This window comes from Homo sapiens, chromosome 6 (genome assembly GCF_000001405.40).
Source record: "Homo sapiens chromosome 6, GRCh38.p14 Primary Assembly".
NCBI classification, from domain to species: Eukaryota; Metazoa; Chordata; class Mammalia; order Primates; family Hominidae; genus Homo; species Homo sapiens.
In genome coordinates, this window is record NC_000006.12 from 112,052,617 (window position 1) to 112,069,773 (window position 17,157).

The 17,157-nt window shown below is 40.0% G+C and overlaps 1 protein-coding gene across 8 annotated transcripts; it reads left to right on the forward strand.

Moving 5' to 3' along the window:
• Positions 197-17,070, forward strand: CCN6 (cellular communication network factor 6). 8 transcript variants are annotated; one of them, XM_047419469.1, is made up of 7 exons: positions 197-633; positions 965-1,042; positions 1,719-1,789; positions 8,375-8,672; positions 12,139-12,381; positions 14,353-14,416; positions 15,589-15,677. In XM_047419469.1, exons 2-7 carry the CDS (start codon positions 1,003-1,005, stop codon positions 15,593-15,595), a joined length of 723 nt encoding a protein of 240 aa, XP_047275425.1. In that variant the 5' UTR covers positions 197-633; positions 965-1,002; the 3' UTR covers positions 15,596-15,677. The 8 variants fall into 8 exon arrangements, 6 of the variants coding, with proteins under 6 accessions (XP_047275425.1, XP_011534524.2, XP_011534522.1 ...); XM_011536222.2 differs by having other exon boundaries at positions 12,139-12,170; positions 15,589-15,612; NR_125354.3 differs by lacking the exons at positions 197-633; positions 965-1,042 and adding exons at positions 1,488-1,545; positions 16,723-17,070 and having other exon boundaries at positions 15,589-15,782.

Genomic DNA, 17,157 nt, shown 5'->3' on the forward strand with positions numbered 1-17,157 from the left:
TTGTGCACATGTACCCTAGAACTTGAAGTATAATAATAAAAAAAAAAAAAGAAAAGAAAAAGATCAGATTGGACCAAAACAGACACATTTTCTTCACTACTCCATTATCTGGTTTTGTCCTATTTCTTAGGGAGGCAAGATAAGGCGTTGGCATCCTAACTGCAGTGGGTATTCCTTGTTGTTTGATGTGCATATACTTACAGTTTAATGACTCCTTAGTAAGCTCTGTGTGATCTGCAGGTTTTAGGGTGTCCATGGTTCTCCAAGGACACCAGATTCTCTGTGGTGGAGGACAGCCTCGTTTTTCCCAGGCCCTCAGCTCAGGCCTAAGCGAGGCTTGATGTTGTCTTTATACAGTAGTGACTGCCTTGAACAGTAACAAAGGTGAGCAATCGGTATAGGATAGGTAAGGCAGCAGGAAAAGGAGGGATAGGTAACTGATCAAAGGAAATAGAAATAGGCCTTGGGATGGGGGCAGGCAGGTGGGACGCCTCAGGGACCTGAGAGGGACAAAGCACCACGGCAGCTGCAAATGAAGATGGGAACACAGACCCAGGCTGAGAACATGGAGAAGCGAAGGTCCCACATGATGACACAGGAGGAGATGCGCTGGTGGTCACACCTTTCAGGGAGGTGAGTATGAAGAAGAGGAGTACAAACCTGTCAAAATTTTATTTTTAATCTTTTTTTTTTTTTTGAGAATAATTCTCACTCTTGTCCCCCAGGCTGGAGTGCAATGGTGCGATCTCGGCTCACTGCAACCTCCGCCTCCCAGGTTCAAGCGATTCTCCTGCCTCAGCCTCCCAAGCAGCTGGGATTACAGGCGCCTGCCACCACACCTGGCTAATTTTTGTGTCTTTTTTTTTTTTTAGCAGAGACGGGATTTCATCATATTGGCCAGGCTTATTTTTAATCTTAATTCATTAAATGAATGATTGCTACCAGTGTAATTGTTTTATTTTAGGCCCGGAAAAATGGAGGTTAACTTCATTGTCATCTGTCATGGAACTGTGGCCACAAAAAGAGGCGTCTCTCAGGCCAGGTACTGTAGGAGTCCGCCCCCTGCTCCATCTGTATTTTTTCCACTCACAGTCCACCTGGCATGAGAAAGGTGTTGGGATAAAGGTGAGCCCAGGGCACTGTGGGTGCCTCCGAGAGAATCTGAGCTGGGGGAGTCAGGGTCCTTCGAGAGCCTGCCATTAATATGGAGGGGGAAAGCCAGGGCTAGGCTGCGATGGGTGCTGTTGGTGGGGGGGCCAGGCCTGCACTCTGTACGTGAGGGTGAAGCTGGAGAAGGAAGCAGCCTAGAGAGGACCCGGAGCAGGGCAAACACAGATGGAGAAGCTGAGGGCAAGGAAGGGAATGACGTGGGACCCCACCCGTTGTCGGGGGCAGGCTCTGCTCTCCAGGAACAGGTAACACAGTCACTTAGAGAACAGTCACTACTTGCCCTGCCCTCCTGAGTCCCGGGAGGAAAGTGCTCGCCCATTCCTGACCTGTGACACGCTCACTGCGAAGGCAGGTTATTAGAAGAGTCCCATGAAAGTAAACAGGGTATTAAAACGGATCCTTAAAAATGAAAGTGCAGGCTGAAAGTTGGTAGTGTGGGAGGTAGAGGGTGTGTGTTCTTGTGCAGAGGAGCGTGGGGTTTGCAGAGGAGACAGGGGAGCTTTGTGTACCCGGAGCAATGAACAAGCGGCGACTTCTCTACCCCTCAGGGTGGCTCCACGGTCCCAGCGACATGCAGGGGCTCCTCTTCTCCACTCTTCTGCTTGCTGGCCTGGCACAGGTAAGTCCTCTCCCCCGACTCTTTCCCTTCCGGAGGCTATGGCCATCCTTAGTTCTTCAGGCCCAAAACTAAACAAAACGAAGATGGAGGAAGAGGGAGGATCAATGGCTTGTGGAACTACTTCATGAGAAATAGGAAGCCATTTTTCTTTCCAAATAAAGTTCTGTGTTCGTTCATGAGCTTCATGAAAGAAATGTAAAACATTTCTCCCTTTCAGGTAATGGCACCGAAGCCTCCTTTCGCTATGTTTGAACAGCGCCACGCTTTCCTATATATTTTTATAGCAGAGCCTAAGGCACAGCCTGGCACAGTGCGGGAAACAGTGTCTCTCCATGCCAGCTCCAGGCGGAGGCTCAACTTTCCATTGCTGTTTGCAAAATGTGCAAAGAGCCCCTGGAAAAACGAATTTTGACAGCGACTTTTTCCAGTTAAGTCTGTCCTTCTTTGAAAGGGGCACTTTGGAATAAACATTTACATTTTTAAAACATTCTCTTACTTTGTCTTTTCTCAGTCCATGTGTTTCTCACTTCCTGAAAGGGAAGCAGTCCATGGAGGCTTGGAAATATTTCAAGCAACAGACCAAAGGGAAGTTTAACTTACTATGAGCAATTCATTGCCTTAGTCTTTTTAAATAAGAAGATGAAAACAAGGTGACTTAATTGTTGATTTATTTACACGGTAGACAGGAGACAGAGCTTTTGAAATCTGGTGATTTAGGAAACATGGGTGTGTCTGTGAGTTAGTAGTTGATTGGGGCCATAAGTAGTAGATACATCTTAGAAAACAAGGAATTGCAAATTGTTATACCATATAGAGAGAGATTTACGATTTCAAAAGAATCATGACAAGAATGTCAGTGGTCCAGGTCATTGCTGCTGTTCTGTGGAGGGGCTCACTCCCCTGTCTGTGTGCCTCCTATTCCACTGTTCTTGAGAAAAAGCCTGTCATTGTGGATTGAGAGCAGCTAGATGTTCTTAGACAGCAGGTATTCCAACACAGAGAGATGTGTACAAAATAAACAACAACAAACACAGAAAGGTGTTACACAAAGAGCGGTAAAAATGGATTATTTTGTGCTTAACTTTGCTTTTATGAATTCATAAATTCATGAAATAGCTGATAATACCTAGCATTTACTGAATAGCTGCTATATGCCAAATACTGTGCTGGGTGCTTTATTTATTTATTTATTTATTTATTTAGAGACAGAGCCTTGCTCTGTCGTTCCAGGCTGGAGTGCAGTGGTGCAGTCTTGGGTCACTGCAACCTCCACCTCCTGGGTTCAAGCGATTGTTGTGCCTCAGCCTCCCAAGTAGCTGAGATTACAGGCCTACACCACCATGCCTTGCCAATTTTTGTATTTTAGTAGAGATAGGGTTTTGCCCTGTTGGCCAAGCTGGTCTTGAACTCCTGACCTCAAGTGATCCGCCCACCTCGGCCTCCCAAAGTGTTGGGATTACAGGTGTGAGCCACCACCTCCGGCCCAAGGGTGCTTTAGTTATTATCTTAATTATCAAAACAACTTTACAAGGTGGTCATTATTAATCCCATATTACAGAGGAGATCAAATGATGGGAAGTTCTGTAAGATCACAGAGCTGTTGCAAAGCTCGGATCTGTTGTCAAAATGCTTATTCTTTCTATTGCACCATTCTAGTGATGCTTATTGTCCTGAAATTTTGCTGTTGAAAACAATCAAAATATGCCTGAGGAAAAGTGAAAAATATAAGATTCTTTATATTTACCCACATATTGACTATGTCCAGGCCTCTTCATTTCTTCCTGTATTTCTAAGTTACTATCATAACAGAAGATCTTCAGACCGAAGATCCTCCTTTAGTATTTCTTGTGAGGCAGATCAGCTAGCAACAATTTCTCTTAGGTTTTGTTTACCCAGAAACGGTTTTTATTTCACCATCATGTTTGAAAGACAGTTTCACTGGCTATATAATTCTGGATTGACAGGATTTTTTTTTTTCTCCGTTTAACATTGTCTCTGGGCATCTTGTTCTTCTCCATCTCTCCCTCCTCCTCCTTCTTTTGATGAGAAGTCAGATCTCAGTTTTATTGTACTTCTGTATGTAATGCTTCCCCCTTTTCTCAGTCTACTGTTATGATTTTCTTTATTTTGAGATGGAATCACCCTCTGTTGCCTAGGCTGGAGTGCAGTGGCGTGTCTTGGCTCACTGCAACCTCTGCCTTCTGGGTTCAAGCGATTCTCCTGTCTCAGCCTCCTGAGTAGCTGGGACTACAGGTGCACGCCACCACACCTGGCTAAGTTTTTGTATTTTTAGTAGAGATGGGGTTTTGCCATGTTGGCCAGGCTAGTCTTGAACTCCCCGCCTCAAGTGATCCACCTGCCTCGGCATCCCAAAGTGCTGGGATTACAGGCTATTTCAGCTTCATTTTTGAAAGATGGTTTCACTGGCCATATAATTCTGGGTTGACAGGTTGTTTTTTTTTCCTTTCAACATTGTCTTTGCACATCTTCTTCTCAATCTCTTCCTCCTCCTCCGTCTTTTGATGAGAAGTCAGATCTCATTTTTCATGTAATTCAGTATGTAATGCTTTTCTCAGTCTACTGTTATGATTTTCTCTTTATCCTTGGATTTCAACAGTGTTACCTTTTGACCTCAGAGATTATCTGGAAATGCTTCAAAATTGGAAAGTTAAAGAGGCATCCGGGGGCAGTTTTGGGAGTGTGCATTTCATTAGAAAGAACACATGAAAAAGCAGGGAGGAGAAAACCAACCCAGGGAGTCCAGCAAATGGCAAGTCATGGAAGGAGAGTGTGTGAGAGCTAAAGCTCAAGAGGTAGGCAGGAGAGGGCTTTGGATAACTGGCTCAGAAGTTTAGGCTGCACAGTATGGACTATGGGGAACCCCTGATGGGCTTTAAGGAGAGGAGTAATACAACCAGACATGTTCTTTAAAGAGATTCCTCCAGGAGCAACATAGTAGATGCACTTGAAAAGTCATTCTGGAGGGAGGAAGGTCAGTCAGGAACTCGTAGTGACGGTGCTTACTTAGTAGCAATGAAATGGGGAAAAGCATCTAGTTCTGGGAAGACGAGGACAATACAATACATAGGAGAGGGTCACTGAATCGTCATAGGAGGTGAGAGGGAGGAAGACAACCCAGATGAATCCAGCTTCCTGACTCCAAACTTTGAAGAGTGAAAAATGATGACTTTTGGACTTGAGTATTTCCTGGAGGACATTTGGGTGGAGATGTCCAGTAGGTAGTTATCTCACGGGTCCAGGGCTCAGTGGAGAAGTCCAGGCTGGAAATTTAGTTTTGAAACTTGCATAGGATGAAAACTGAAGGCAAGGGTGTGGGTGAGATTGCCAAGACACAGTGTAGAATGAGGCAAGCAATACATTAAAGCTATGAAACACCAATAGGCCTAAATTTAAGTCAAATTCAGGGTAACAGGAGCCTGCGGAGGAGATTGAGAAAGTGCGTTGAAAAGTAAGGGGAGGACTGGGGGGACCAGATGTAATGAAATCCAAGGTAGAGGAGAGTTAAATGCCTTAGAGAGGTGGGGCAAGAGGAGGACTGAAGAGGGTTCACGGATGTGAGACCAGCAAAGAGGCCACTGAACCTGGCATCCTGAATCACTGGTGGCTATAGCTGAACCTGTGCAAAACTGAGATGGAGGCAAAATTTTTTTAAGTTTAAAATTTTTTTAGGATTCTAGCTTCACTATTTCTACTCCCTTCTCCATTTTGATGTTTCCTTTTCCCCTGCTCCTTCTCCAGAAGCCCAGCAGTGTCCTATCCTCCCCATCAAAACCCATTCTCACGTTGTGCATGTAACTTTTGAATCACAGCTGAAACGTTACTCTTTACTGAGGCATATGTGTTTTACCAGTAGTAAGAAAAAAGGCTGAGGGTTTAATATTGGGTGGAATTTCCTACAGATACTTCTAAATGTAGAATTTTTGAGCTGCAAATGGACTTAGATCTAGTAATCAATTCAACAGTCCCTGGTTCCATCAAATAAACATTAAGAGTTATTTACATAAGCAAATTGCCAGGCACTGTGCTAGGTGCTGGTGGTATACTCACAAACAAACCACAAGCACCTGAGGTTGGGTGGCTTTACGGCTAGTGGAAGAGATAGGCACTTACATGGGTAATTTCAGTTTAAAAATGTGTGCAAGGCAGGGAAGTTATAGGAACCTTTCTGGAAAAGATGATACTGAAACAGAACCTTGAAGTATCCTTTAACTAGATGAAGAAGGAGCTGGGTCTGGGCAGAATGTCCCAGGCAGGAGGAACAGCATCATATATGCAGGGAACTACAGGCACTTTAACTTTCTGGAACCTAATGCATACAAGAACTGCAAGACACGAGGAGGGCCCTGAATGCTGTGCATAAGTGCTTGCACATTTCCTGTAGGTCAGACACTTTCACGTGTGAAGGATGAGGGAGAGGAAGAAATCCAGATGGTTTTCAGCTTCCTGACTAGGGGACCTGAGTGGATGGTGACGCCATTCACTAAAATGGGAACTGCTAGTTGAGGAGCAGTTTGTCAGGGGGAGGGTACTTGTAGAACCTCAAAGTGCATATGTACCATAGCAACTAATAAGTTGTAAGCTTAAGGGATGAGGTCTAGGCTGGAGAAATAGATGCAGAGATTTGGTGATTTGTTCTGTATCAAAGCTGGGTTGCAGTATGATTTGGACTAGGAAAGGAAGGAGGGTAAGTGTTGAGAGCTTAGGCTCTGGAACCTGCCTGCCTGATTTAAATCAGTCTTCTATCACTTACTTGATATGTCACATAGGACAACTTAAATAATTTGAGTCTCAGGGTCCTCATTTACAAAATGGAGTATACAGTTTCCTATTGCTGCTGTAAGAAATCACCAACTTGAATGGCTTAAAACAACATGATTATCTACAGTTCTGGACATCTGATGTCCAAAAATGGGTCTTACAGGGCTAAAATCAAGCGTTGGCAGGACTGCCTCCCTTCTGGAGGTGGCAGGGGAGAATCCATTCTTTGCCTGTTCCAGCTTTTAAAGGCTGTCTGGCTTCCTTGGACCATGACCCATTTCAGCAACGGCATCGCTCCTACCTCTGCTTCTGCCATCACATCTTCTCTGACATGCCTGCCTCCTTCCCCAGTGGACCCAATGTACTTGTGATTACCTTGGGCCCACCTGGATAATCGAGAGTGATAACCTCAAGATTCTTAAGTTGATCACATATGCAAAAATCCCCTTCAATGTTTTAGGTAACATATATGCACAGACTCCAGGGATTAGGACATGGACATCTTTGAGGGGACCACTATCTGCCTATCACATGGTATAATCACCACTGCACGCTGTTGCTATGAAGTTTGATTGAAATAACCATGTAAAGTGATTTATAAAGATGGCAGTCATCAAGACAGACATTAGGCAAAGATCTTGCTTTCAAGATGCTCACATTCTTGGTGCAGGTATCAGAAAGTAAACAACTGAAATGTGTAGGTAATAAGAAAGGTGGTAAACTCTACGGTGAAAGGACTGGGATAGGGTGCCCTTTCACAAAGAGTGGTCAAAGAGGGCCTCACTGAGAAATTTGAGCACAGACCTAAAGAGAGTAAAAGAGTGAGCCATGAAGATATCTAGGGGCAGAGTGTGCTTGGAGTCAGAGAACAAGGACGCTGGTGTGGCTGGTGTGGAGGCAGCAAGGGGGTGAGTGGCAGTGGGCAAAGTAATATGGGGAGGGGGGACCACAGGATGCAGGGCCATGGTGGCACTTTGAATTTTACATGGAAATGGGAGGCCATGAGGAAGTCACTCCATATGAGCAAAGAGTGATATGAACTGGCTTATTTTTAAAGAATCATTCTGGATGTCAAGTGGACAAAGGAGCAAGGAAGGTGAACACTCAGGAGGCTATTGTAATCATCCAAGTGAACAATGATGACTTGGATTATGATGGTAACAGAGAAGGTATCAATAAATGATCAAGGTGGGTATTTTTAAAGGTGTAATAAACAGGATTTACTGATGGAATTAGATGTAAAATATGAAAGAGAAGAGTCAAGCATGATCTGATCTCAAGGTATTTTGGAAATATATTGGCATTTGCTTAAATAGGGAAGTGTGTGGAAGAGCAGAGTGGAAGGGGAAGCTTGGGAGCTTGTTTTTGGTCATATTAAATTTGCTATACCTATTAAACATCAAAGTGGAGATGTTAAGTAGGCAGTTTGAGTCTGAGTTCAGAAGAGGGGTATGAGTTGGAGATAAGAGATATAGTGAGGGAAGATACTTTAGAGGCCTTATCCATGGGGCTCTGAGGTTTACAGATTAAGAGGATGAGAAGAAACTGACAAAGGAGAGTGAGAAGGAGCAGTCAGTGATAAAGGAGGAGTAAGAGTGGAATAAGAGGAATAAGAGCCTCCAACAGTCTTGGAGGCTGAGTGAAGAATAGTTTAAGGAGAGTAATTGTGTCAAATGCTGATAGGTGTTATTATAATGATTGTAACTCACCACTCTGTATACTACCTGTTTGGGGGAAATCTTCTATTCCTGTTATACTATTACATAGAGAAGCTATTTCTAACATCACCTTTATTATCAAATGAAGTTCTGCTGCAGGGTACAGGGCACTGGACCATTAGATACAACACCTGAAGGAAGGCCTGGAGAAGTGTCAGATGCACCTCAGCGTAAACAGTTTTGTCACTGGCCCTGCAAATGCCCTCAGCAGAAGCCCCGTTGCCCTCCTGGAGTGAGCCTGGTGAGAGATGGCTGTGGATGCTGTAAAATCTGTGCCAAGCAACCAGGGGAAATCTGCAATGAAGCTGACCTCTGTGACCCACACAAAGGGCTGTATTGTGACTACTCAGTAGACAGGCCTAGGTACGAGACTGGAGTGTGTGCATGTAAGTGTCTTCTTCTGGACCTGCTGGAAAAGATTGAGTCTAGACAGAATTTTTTTTTCCTGCAATTGTTAGCTTGGAGTGATCAGCTTAGTTTGGCTAAATATGAGGTGGGTTTAGTTTTCATGCACCAGTGGGACTGGCTCCATTGTATTGGATACTATGTGAAATTAGCAGATGCTTACACACATTCAGAAGCCCATTATTTTCATTGCACTGAGGTGATTTTGCAGTTCTTCTCAGGTAATTGCTTTTAATGATAGAAAATAAAAGGAATTATCTAGAGTCTGACTTTTTAAAGAGCTACAAAATGACAGCTTTTGTTAATACTGTCAAAAACAATCCGAATTCGGCCTTTTCTGTAACAAAAAATGATCTGCTTAAAAATACTAGAATGTATACCCAGTATTCAGACATACAACTTTAACCTCAGCTTTCCCAACTAATGACCGAGTTGCTGTGCTTTTTACTTCAGCAGATTTGTAAAAAAAGAAGGTGAGGTCACCCCAAACCACAACCTGACCCTCAGCCTTATGTGACTAAGTTCTGGAGACTGATTCAGACCATCTAAACATTGACACTAATTCAGGGTGCCAAATTATTTAGGATTAAACAAATAAAATTTATAAGGGAAGAGAAACACTCATGTCACCTGGGCAGTTTAGTCCGTCTGTAGAAAAGTCAAAGTAGGAAGGCAAATTACTATCAGAAGTTTGGTTATGAGCCATGGAATGAGAGCCTACCTTTGGAGTCAGGCTGAATGTGTAGAGCACTCAAGCTTGATAGCCTGATGCCCCTGCCAGCACTGTATTGTATGGTTAAAAATGTGGGATCTAGGTTCAAGTCCTGACTGCTCTGCTAACTAAATACACTTGATCAAGTTGTTTATTCTCTGTGTGTCTCAGTTACATAATATGTACTTCCTAGCTTATAGAGTTGCTGGGAGGATCAAATAAAATAATGACATAAAACGCCTAGCACAATAGCTGGTATTCAGTAGGATCCCAAAAATGTTATTTATTGGAATCCTATAATGAAAACATGACCTATCAAACAAAGTGGCATTCAGGACACCCATTTTTCCCAAGCTAGGCAGGTTATTTCATTAAACCAACAAACACTTAGTGACCATCCACTACAGAGCCAAGCACTGTGGCCAGCAACTGAGGACACGACAGGAAAAACAAAAGATATAGGCCTTGGCCTCAGAGAATGAAATATTAAGATGTCAGACCTTTCTGTAAGTAATTTCACACAAAATGTGATGAGACTTTTAACAGGGCATAGCCACGAGGATAGGAATGGGGATAATCTATAACTGGAGCCCCAAACTATGACCTGAGGGTCAAATCTAGCCAACAGCCTGTTTTTGTAAATAATGCTTTATTGGAACATGGCACATTAATGTAGAGTCTTTGGCTGCTTTGCAATGGCAGAGTCAGTAGTTTTGACCAAACACTCTCTGGCTTGCAAAGGCTAAGATATTTTCTAGTTGGCTCTTTTCAGAAAACCTGATGATCCCTGATCAAGAGCAACATTTTAAAAGCTTTTTGATCTGCGGACCCCTTTACAGTCTTAGAAATTACCCCTTTATACTCTTAGAAATTAATGAGGACCTAAAGAGGTTTTATGTGGGTTTTATCATTGATATTTGATGGATTAGAAATTTAGAAATATTTATTCACTTAAAAAGAATAAACCCATTGCAGATTAATAAGAATAACGTTTTTATGAAAAAACATGTAACTTATTTTCCAAAGAAAAATTTAGTAAAAGAGTGTCATTGTTTTACATTTTTTGCAAATCTCTCTAGTGTCTAGCTCAATAGAAGATAGCTAGAGTCGCACATTTGCTGCTTCTTTCAATCTGTTACTATGTGTTTTTCTGGTTGAAATATGTGAAGAAAATCTGGCATCACACAGATATGTAATTTGAAAAGGGAGGAATATTTTAACAGGCTTTTCAGATCATTGTGTATATACTTTTATGTTTATTGATATTATATTAAAACTTGGCAAGTGACAGTGCCTTAAAAATTAGCTGCATCATGGAATCTGAAACCATATCAATGAACTTTCGACTCTGTGACATTAAAATGCATTGGTCTATCCAAGACCCATTTGGAATAGATCTTTTACTCATGTATAATTTTGCCATTCTATGCATTGTTCATTTGGAAAATATGTTTACTGTGTTGTAGAGATGTTCAAAATATTGATACACTTAATTATGTAATATCTAAAAAAAATCACATTAATATCATCCTCACCAGAAAAGTCTACATATTGGATAAATATAAAGTTTTCAGTGATGGATACAAGTTTTCCAAAATTCTAATTTTTCCTTGAAATCTTGAATTCTCGCATTGGCAAAAAATGCTGTCACAGTTGTTTTCCTTGAAGTGACAGGCTCAGTTTGCTCATCTTCAAAAAAAATTTCCAAAATACACAAGTCTGAATAACCAGTTTATCATCAGTCATTTCTTCAAGTAAAATTCCCACTAAAAAAAGTGGTTAGCTCAGCTCACAACTTTACCAATGACATAGTTCCTTAAGTTTCCCTGAGAGAGCAGTTTGCTGAAGTTTCAAGACAGCTGTTGCACTAAAATATTCTATGTATATTTCCTATTTTGTCACGTAGAATATTAAAGAGACCAGTATTTGATGATTAAGATTTAATAAAATTAATACTTTTTGCTGTGCCATCAAGGACATTCTTAGGTAAAACTTCCCCCACCCCTTTTAAAGTATAAGTACCTGGCAAGGAAAAATACAAGATTACCTCTACAGTTTGATTCATGCCAAGGCACCAGCAGTTCAGTTTTAGCCACAGTTGCTTTTGTAGCACCGGTGCAAATACCAACACAGTGAAAAAGGCCAGCCACATCTTAGTATTTGGAAAAGAGTTTTGACCTTGCAGATCCCCTAAAAGTGTCTCAGGTACTGCCAAGGGATTAGAGGACCACACTTGGGGAACAGCCTATCCAGAAAGTCAAGAATACCCATCAGAGGAAGGGAAACTCTCCTGCAATCTCTTAACAAAAACCATCAGTACCTTGCGGTTCTGTAGTTAACTAACGTATAGTTTCTTCAGACATTCACTTATCCTGTCTTCCTAAGACTATATCCTAGCCTATTGTTGGATGTCTGAGAAAACCTGTCTCACTAGGCATTAACCTGTCTCAGATTTATTATCAACCACTATACTTATGGTGATTTTACAGGGTCTTTACTTGGTCTTAATTCTGGAAGTGACCATGTGGGGTTTATAGCCTGCAATATAATAAAAATGCCTCACTTTAGAAACCTTTCTACAGATGTCCTGTGAAGGAGGTTCCAAATGGAACCTAAGAGGTTGAGAGCTATACTTCATACAGGAGATGATCCGTTTCTTCTTAGGTTTATAATTGGAGGTCTAGACTATCACAGATCATGGCTTCTTTGGCAATTTTGCTCTTTTCTCTTTTCAGACCTTGTAGCTGTTGGGTGCGAGTTCAACCAGGTACATTATCATAATGGCCAAGTGTTTCAGCCCAACCCCTTGTTCAGCTGCCTCTGTGTGAGTGGGGCCATTGGATGCACACCTCTGTTCATACCAAAGCTGGCTGGCAGTCACTGCTCTGGAGCTAAAGGTGGAAAGAAGTCTGATCAGTCAAACTGTAGCCTGGAACCATTACTACAGCAGCTTTCAACAAGCTACAAAACAATGCCAGGTGCTCAGAAGTAGAGCTATTTTTCACGTATGACCTTGGTGGTATTCCTTCATGTTCCTTTTACGTATCATAGGTACTCAGTAAGTACTTGTTGATTGGTGGTCAGAGTGAGATATAGTTTGAGTGTATCATTTTACTTAATCTTTGCCTCAGACAGGGATAAATATCTGCAAAGGAAATTTTATAATGTTTTAGAATTTTCTGGTAAAACATTTAAAAACATTTTTAAAAGATCTACTAGGTCAGGAAGCTCTACTAAAATCTTACACCTCTGCTTATTTCTAACCTCTTCTCAGGAAAATTGACCAAATATTGTTCACATGTACCCTAGAACAACTTATTTTTATTGTTCTATTATGGGCAAGAAGTTTGACCATTCACTTCCCCAAATTTTAAAAGGTAACATTTCTATGTGATACAGGCAGAAATGGGAGGCTACTGCTGAAAAATATTTAAGAACTGACACATATTTTGAACTTGTAAATATTATTTCTAAAAATAGAAATCTCGTAGGAAGTCCTTTCCCTCACTCTGAAATTGAAGCTCAATTGTTAATCTCTCTGTAAACACACACACACAAACACACACACGCACACACACACAAACACACACGCACACACACACGCACGCACACACACACACACACAAACACACACATGCACACACACAGGCATTTTTAAGTAGGTTACCCATGTATCTATGTTCTCAGAAAAATGAAGTGTGATCCTTCATTACTCATCTTGTGTATCTGGCCATTTCAAACAGCTTAAGTATACTTATAAACCTTGTATTCTGGTCTGCTCTAAGTTAGCATTTTATTTAAGCATCAGCATATTTTGGGAACAGGAGTTTCAGAACCACCAGCAAATAAAGTATAGAGGAGGAGGGACTCAAAAGGGGCAACATCGAAGTCTGGTTCTTGTTCACATCTCTGTGTTCTCATCCAGAAATCAAGAATGCCTTTTTCTTAAAGTTTAGAGCTTAGTGAGAGGTGCCATGGAAATGCAGAATACTTGAATATGTTAACAACTCATGAGTTCACTTTTATTAAGTGGATATTTAATAAAGGCAACTATAAGCAGAGAAATGAGTTTAGATATTTAAGAACTAACTCTATGAAAGGAACATCCTCAGCAACTCCAGTTTTGTCAGTAAATTAGAAAAAAAATTTACTAGGTTGTTGTGAATTTGCATTTACTATACATGTTCAGTTGACAGCATGACACTGTTAATGCTCTGAAATCTCTGAAATTATAAGCCATGTCCTTATTTTTTTTTTTCAAAATGTACAGAACAGTTGGTTTTCTGCATTGGATTTTAGTCATTCAGTATAAGGCTCTTAGAACCCACACATAAACTTCCCTGGGAAGACTACCTTAGAGCAGTTTTCCACAAGTGAAGCCCTTTGGATCAAGTTCAAGTTGGTCTCATTTTAGAAGTTAGAGCAGTTCAGTGGATTCACTTTGACCTTGGTTGGGAGAGGCATCAGATAGTCAGTCTTAGTAGTTAGTGTTTTGTCAGGTAAAACAAGAAAATCTCCTGAAGTGTTCTCTGGTATTTATGATTTAGACCTAGGTGTGTTTCAAATGAAGTATACGTTCAGTCTAATGTCTCTTCTTTGCTTAACTGTGAAATTATATTTATGGCCCACACAGGAATTTGGCTTTTAAAATTAACCATAATGACAAAAACACATACTTTTAGATATATTTGTGACAGTAATTTATAGTCTATGGTTGGAATCTAGCTTTTGCTAGGTCAGTATGAAGCACGCAATGACATAATGCCCTCATGCTTTTTTCAATGCCCTCATGCTTTTTTCAATGCTCACCAAACACTAAGCTTTGTTTAAAAAATCTCTTCTAGTTTTCTTGCTTTTTAATGAATGGTAAATTCCTGAACTACAGCTGTCGGTTTAACAAGTGGGATTACTGGTAACACGGTAATCTAACCTGCCTTTATTTATTGCAGATGTGTGCCAAGCTTCTAATCTGCTTCCTGCATTGAGGTCTTTAAACTGTTGTCTACCTTCCAGGTATCTTCACGTTTCTGCTTCCTCTCCTCAGTTCTATGTGCAATTGCAAGAGACTCTACTGTCATAACACTGAAAGCAGTGTCACAGTATCAATTAAAATAGAGCACATACTTTAAAGAGACTATTTCCTATGAAGAAGGCTTTTTTTTTTTCTGGGTGTTTTTCGAGTTTTAAGTTGATTTTTTTGAAGTAATATAGCCAGAATTTTGCTGTGCAGACTCAAATCACAACCATACTCCCAAAGCATCCATTTCAAGATGCACATTAACCTTAAGGAAATGCCTTGAGACAGTAAGTCAATATGTAGTTTGCTTAAAATGAGCCAAGGGCCTGATTCATTTATAAGAAGAAGCTCCCAGTGACCTTACATGGAAATGGGAGCATTATTAGACCCTCTTATATTCTCTCTTCCCCTCCTATTTCTCCTTAGCAGCACATTGGAAGGGCTCTATCTACTCACTCACTGACCCATCTATTGATCCATCCATTCTGTTTTTTCATATGTAATTCGAAATCTTAGCCAATTGGAGAGTACTTTGGGCCTAAGAACATAGGGAGTGTGACAATTAAGTTGAATGAATGAAATTATACGCTTGCAATGACTTTCTATATAAATGATTAGTTTAGTTCAGTGTAGTATTAATTAGACAGTTTTCTAAAAGACTAGATTAAAACAAATGGAAGAAATCTGGTCTCACTGATAGTCTCATTCTCAAATATAATTTTTGTATTTTAGATTTTAACATATTATGAAAGTTAACATTAAGATCACACTGTTCTGATCAAATTCCCTAATTTTTATTTCAATGTCTGTTAGAAATGATGAGGCAAGAACAAGGGAAAAGACAACTCAACAGGAACATAAGCTTAGGTTTAGTATTCAGAGGACAGGCAAAGCAGAAAAATGCAAATGAGTAAATCTTCTCAGTTTTTCAAAGATAAAGTATTTTTATTCCTCCTAAGAGACTGGACTGTAATACTTGATTGAAAGTTAATTTTGGGGTTGGGAAAGAGGGAGATAGAGTGATAAATTAGACCATCGGCTTCTTTTATTCTGAGTTATATTATACAAAAATACTCAGATTTCTTAAACATTAAACATGATTAAAAATTATCTATTTATACAAGTACATTTATATGTATACATATGTACTTTTCTCCCTTTGTTTTAGCTTATAGAAATCTCCCACTTATTTGGAAAAAAAAATGTCTTGTGCAAGCAACAAAATGGACTCCCTGCTCCAGAACATGTGGGATGGGAATATCTAACAGGGTGACCAATGAAAACAGCAACTGTGAAATGAGAAAAGAGAAAAGACTGTGTTACATTCAGCCTTGCGACAGCAATATATTAAAGACAATAAAGGTAAAGTTTAAATATATTTAACTTAATTCAATATTAAGAGATTCCTGAAAAGTAAGCATGTGTGTGTTTTGGAGGGTGGGATGGTGTTTAGTTCTTAGAAAAATAAAAGCATCTCATTATAATGCTTAAAGTCAAACTATTTCAGAGGAAAACAGGTATTAACTGCATGTTGTGGGGAAAATTTTACCAACCAGAGCAGATTCTAACTTCTTTTTTCTATGTTAATGAATAAAAGATTTTGGTTGCTACACTATAATTATGAAAACAGATATTATGAACATCAGAGTAGAGAAGTCCTGATCTTAGTTATATATCACTAACTTGGAAGGAAGCCACACCATTTCCAAAATGCTCTATGCTTACATAGTAAACTTGCTAAAACACTATGATAAAATATTTACCCTAAGATTGTTTGGTATAACTAGAGCTGGTCCTGCTTCTTGAATGAGGCAGTAAGTCTGTCTCAAAAAGGGTAATTTTTAGAAATGCTACACAATCCTTCTACCCCAAAGTTATTCTCTATCATATTAGCAAGTTGACAATTCAGTTTTAAAGAAAGATTAGGATAATTATTCATCTATGCATCCACTGAAAACTGTCTGGGCTGTGTTATGGAATTTGCTAAGTCTTAGATAAATATTTAATAAGACATGGCTCTTGATATTAAACAAAACAGAAATTTCTATTTATTGTAAAATTGAGTCAAGAATAGATAGCAAAAAACATTGAGGAGTACGTGCTATAATATGATGAAGAATAGAGAGGACAGACCTCTGATAAGAAGGGGATCTTAAGGGTAAAGAGAGTGCTGGAAATCACTACATAGCAACTTTTATTAATGCCTCCAAATACTCAGATTTGTACTATAAACTATTCTACATGTTTTCAAAACTATTGTAATAAAATTTAAAGAATGACTTCATTTTATCTATCTTTTCAGATTCCCAAAGGAAAAACATGCCAACCTACTTTCCAACTCTCCAAAGCTGAAAAATTTGTCTTTTCTGGATGCTCAAGTACTCAGAGTTACAAACCCACTTTTTGTGGAATATGCTTGGATAAGAGATGCTGTATCCCTAATAAGTCTAAAATGATTACTATTCAATTTGATTGCCCAAATGAGGGGTCATTTAAATGGAAGATGCTGTGGATTACATCTTGTGTGTGTCAGAGAAACTGCAGAGAACCTGGAGATATATTTTCTGAGCTCAAGATTCTGTAAAACCAAGCAAATGGGGGAAAAGTTAGTCAATCCTGTCATATAATAAAAAAATTAGTGAGTATAAAATGGTGGCAAATCTACTTTGTTTAAAACAGTATGAATGCCTATTCTCAGATCACTACATTTAAGGCATTAGAAACTTTTAAAAAGTTA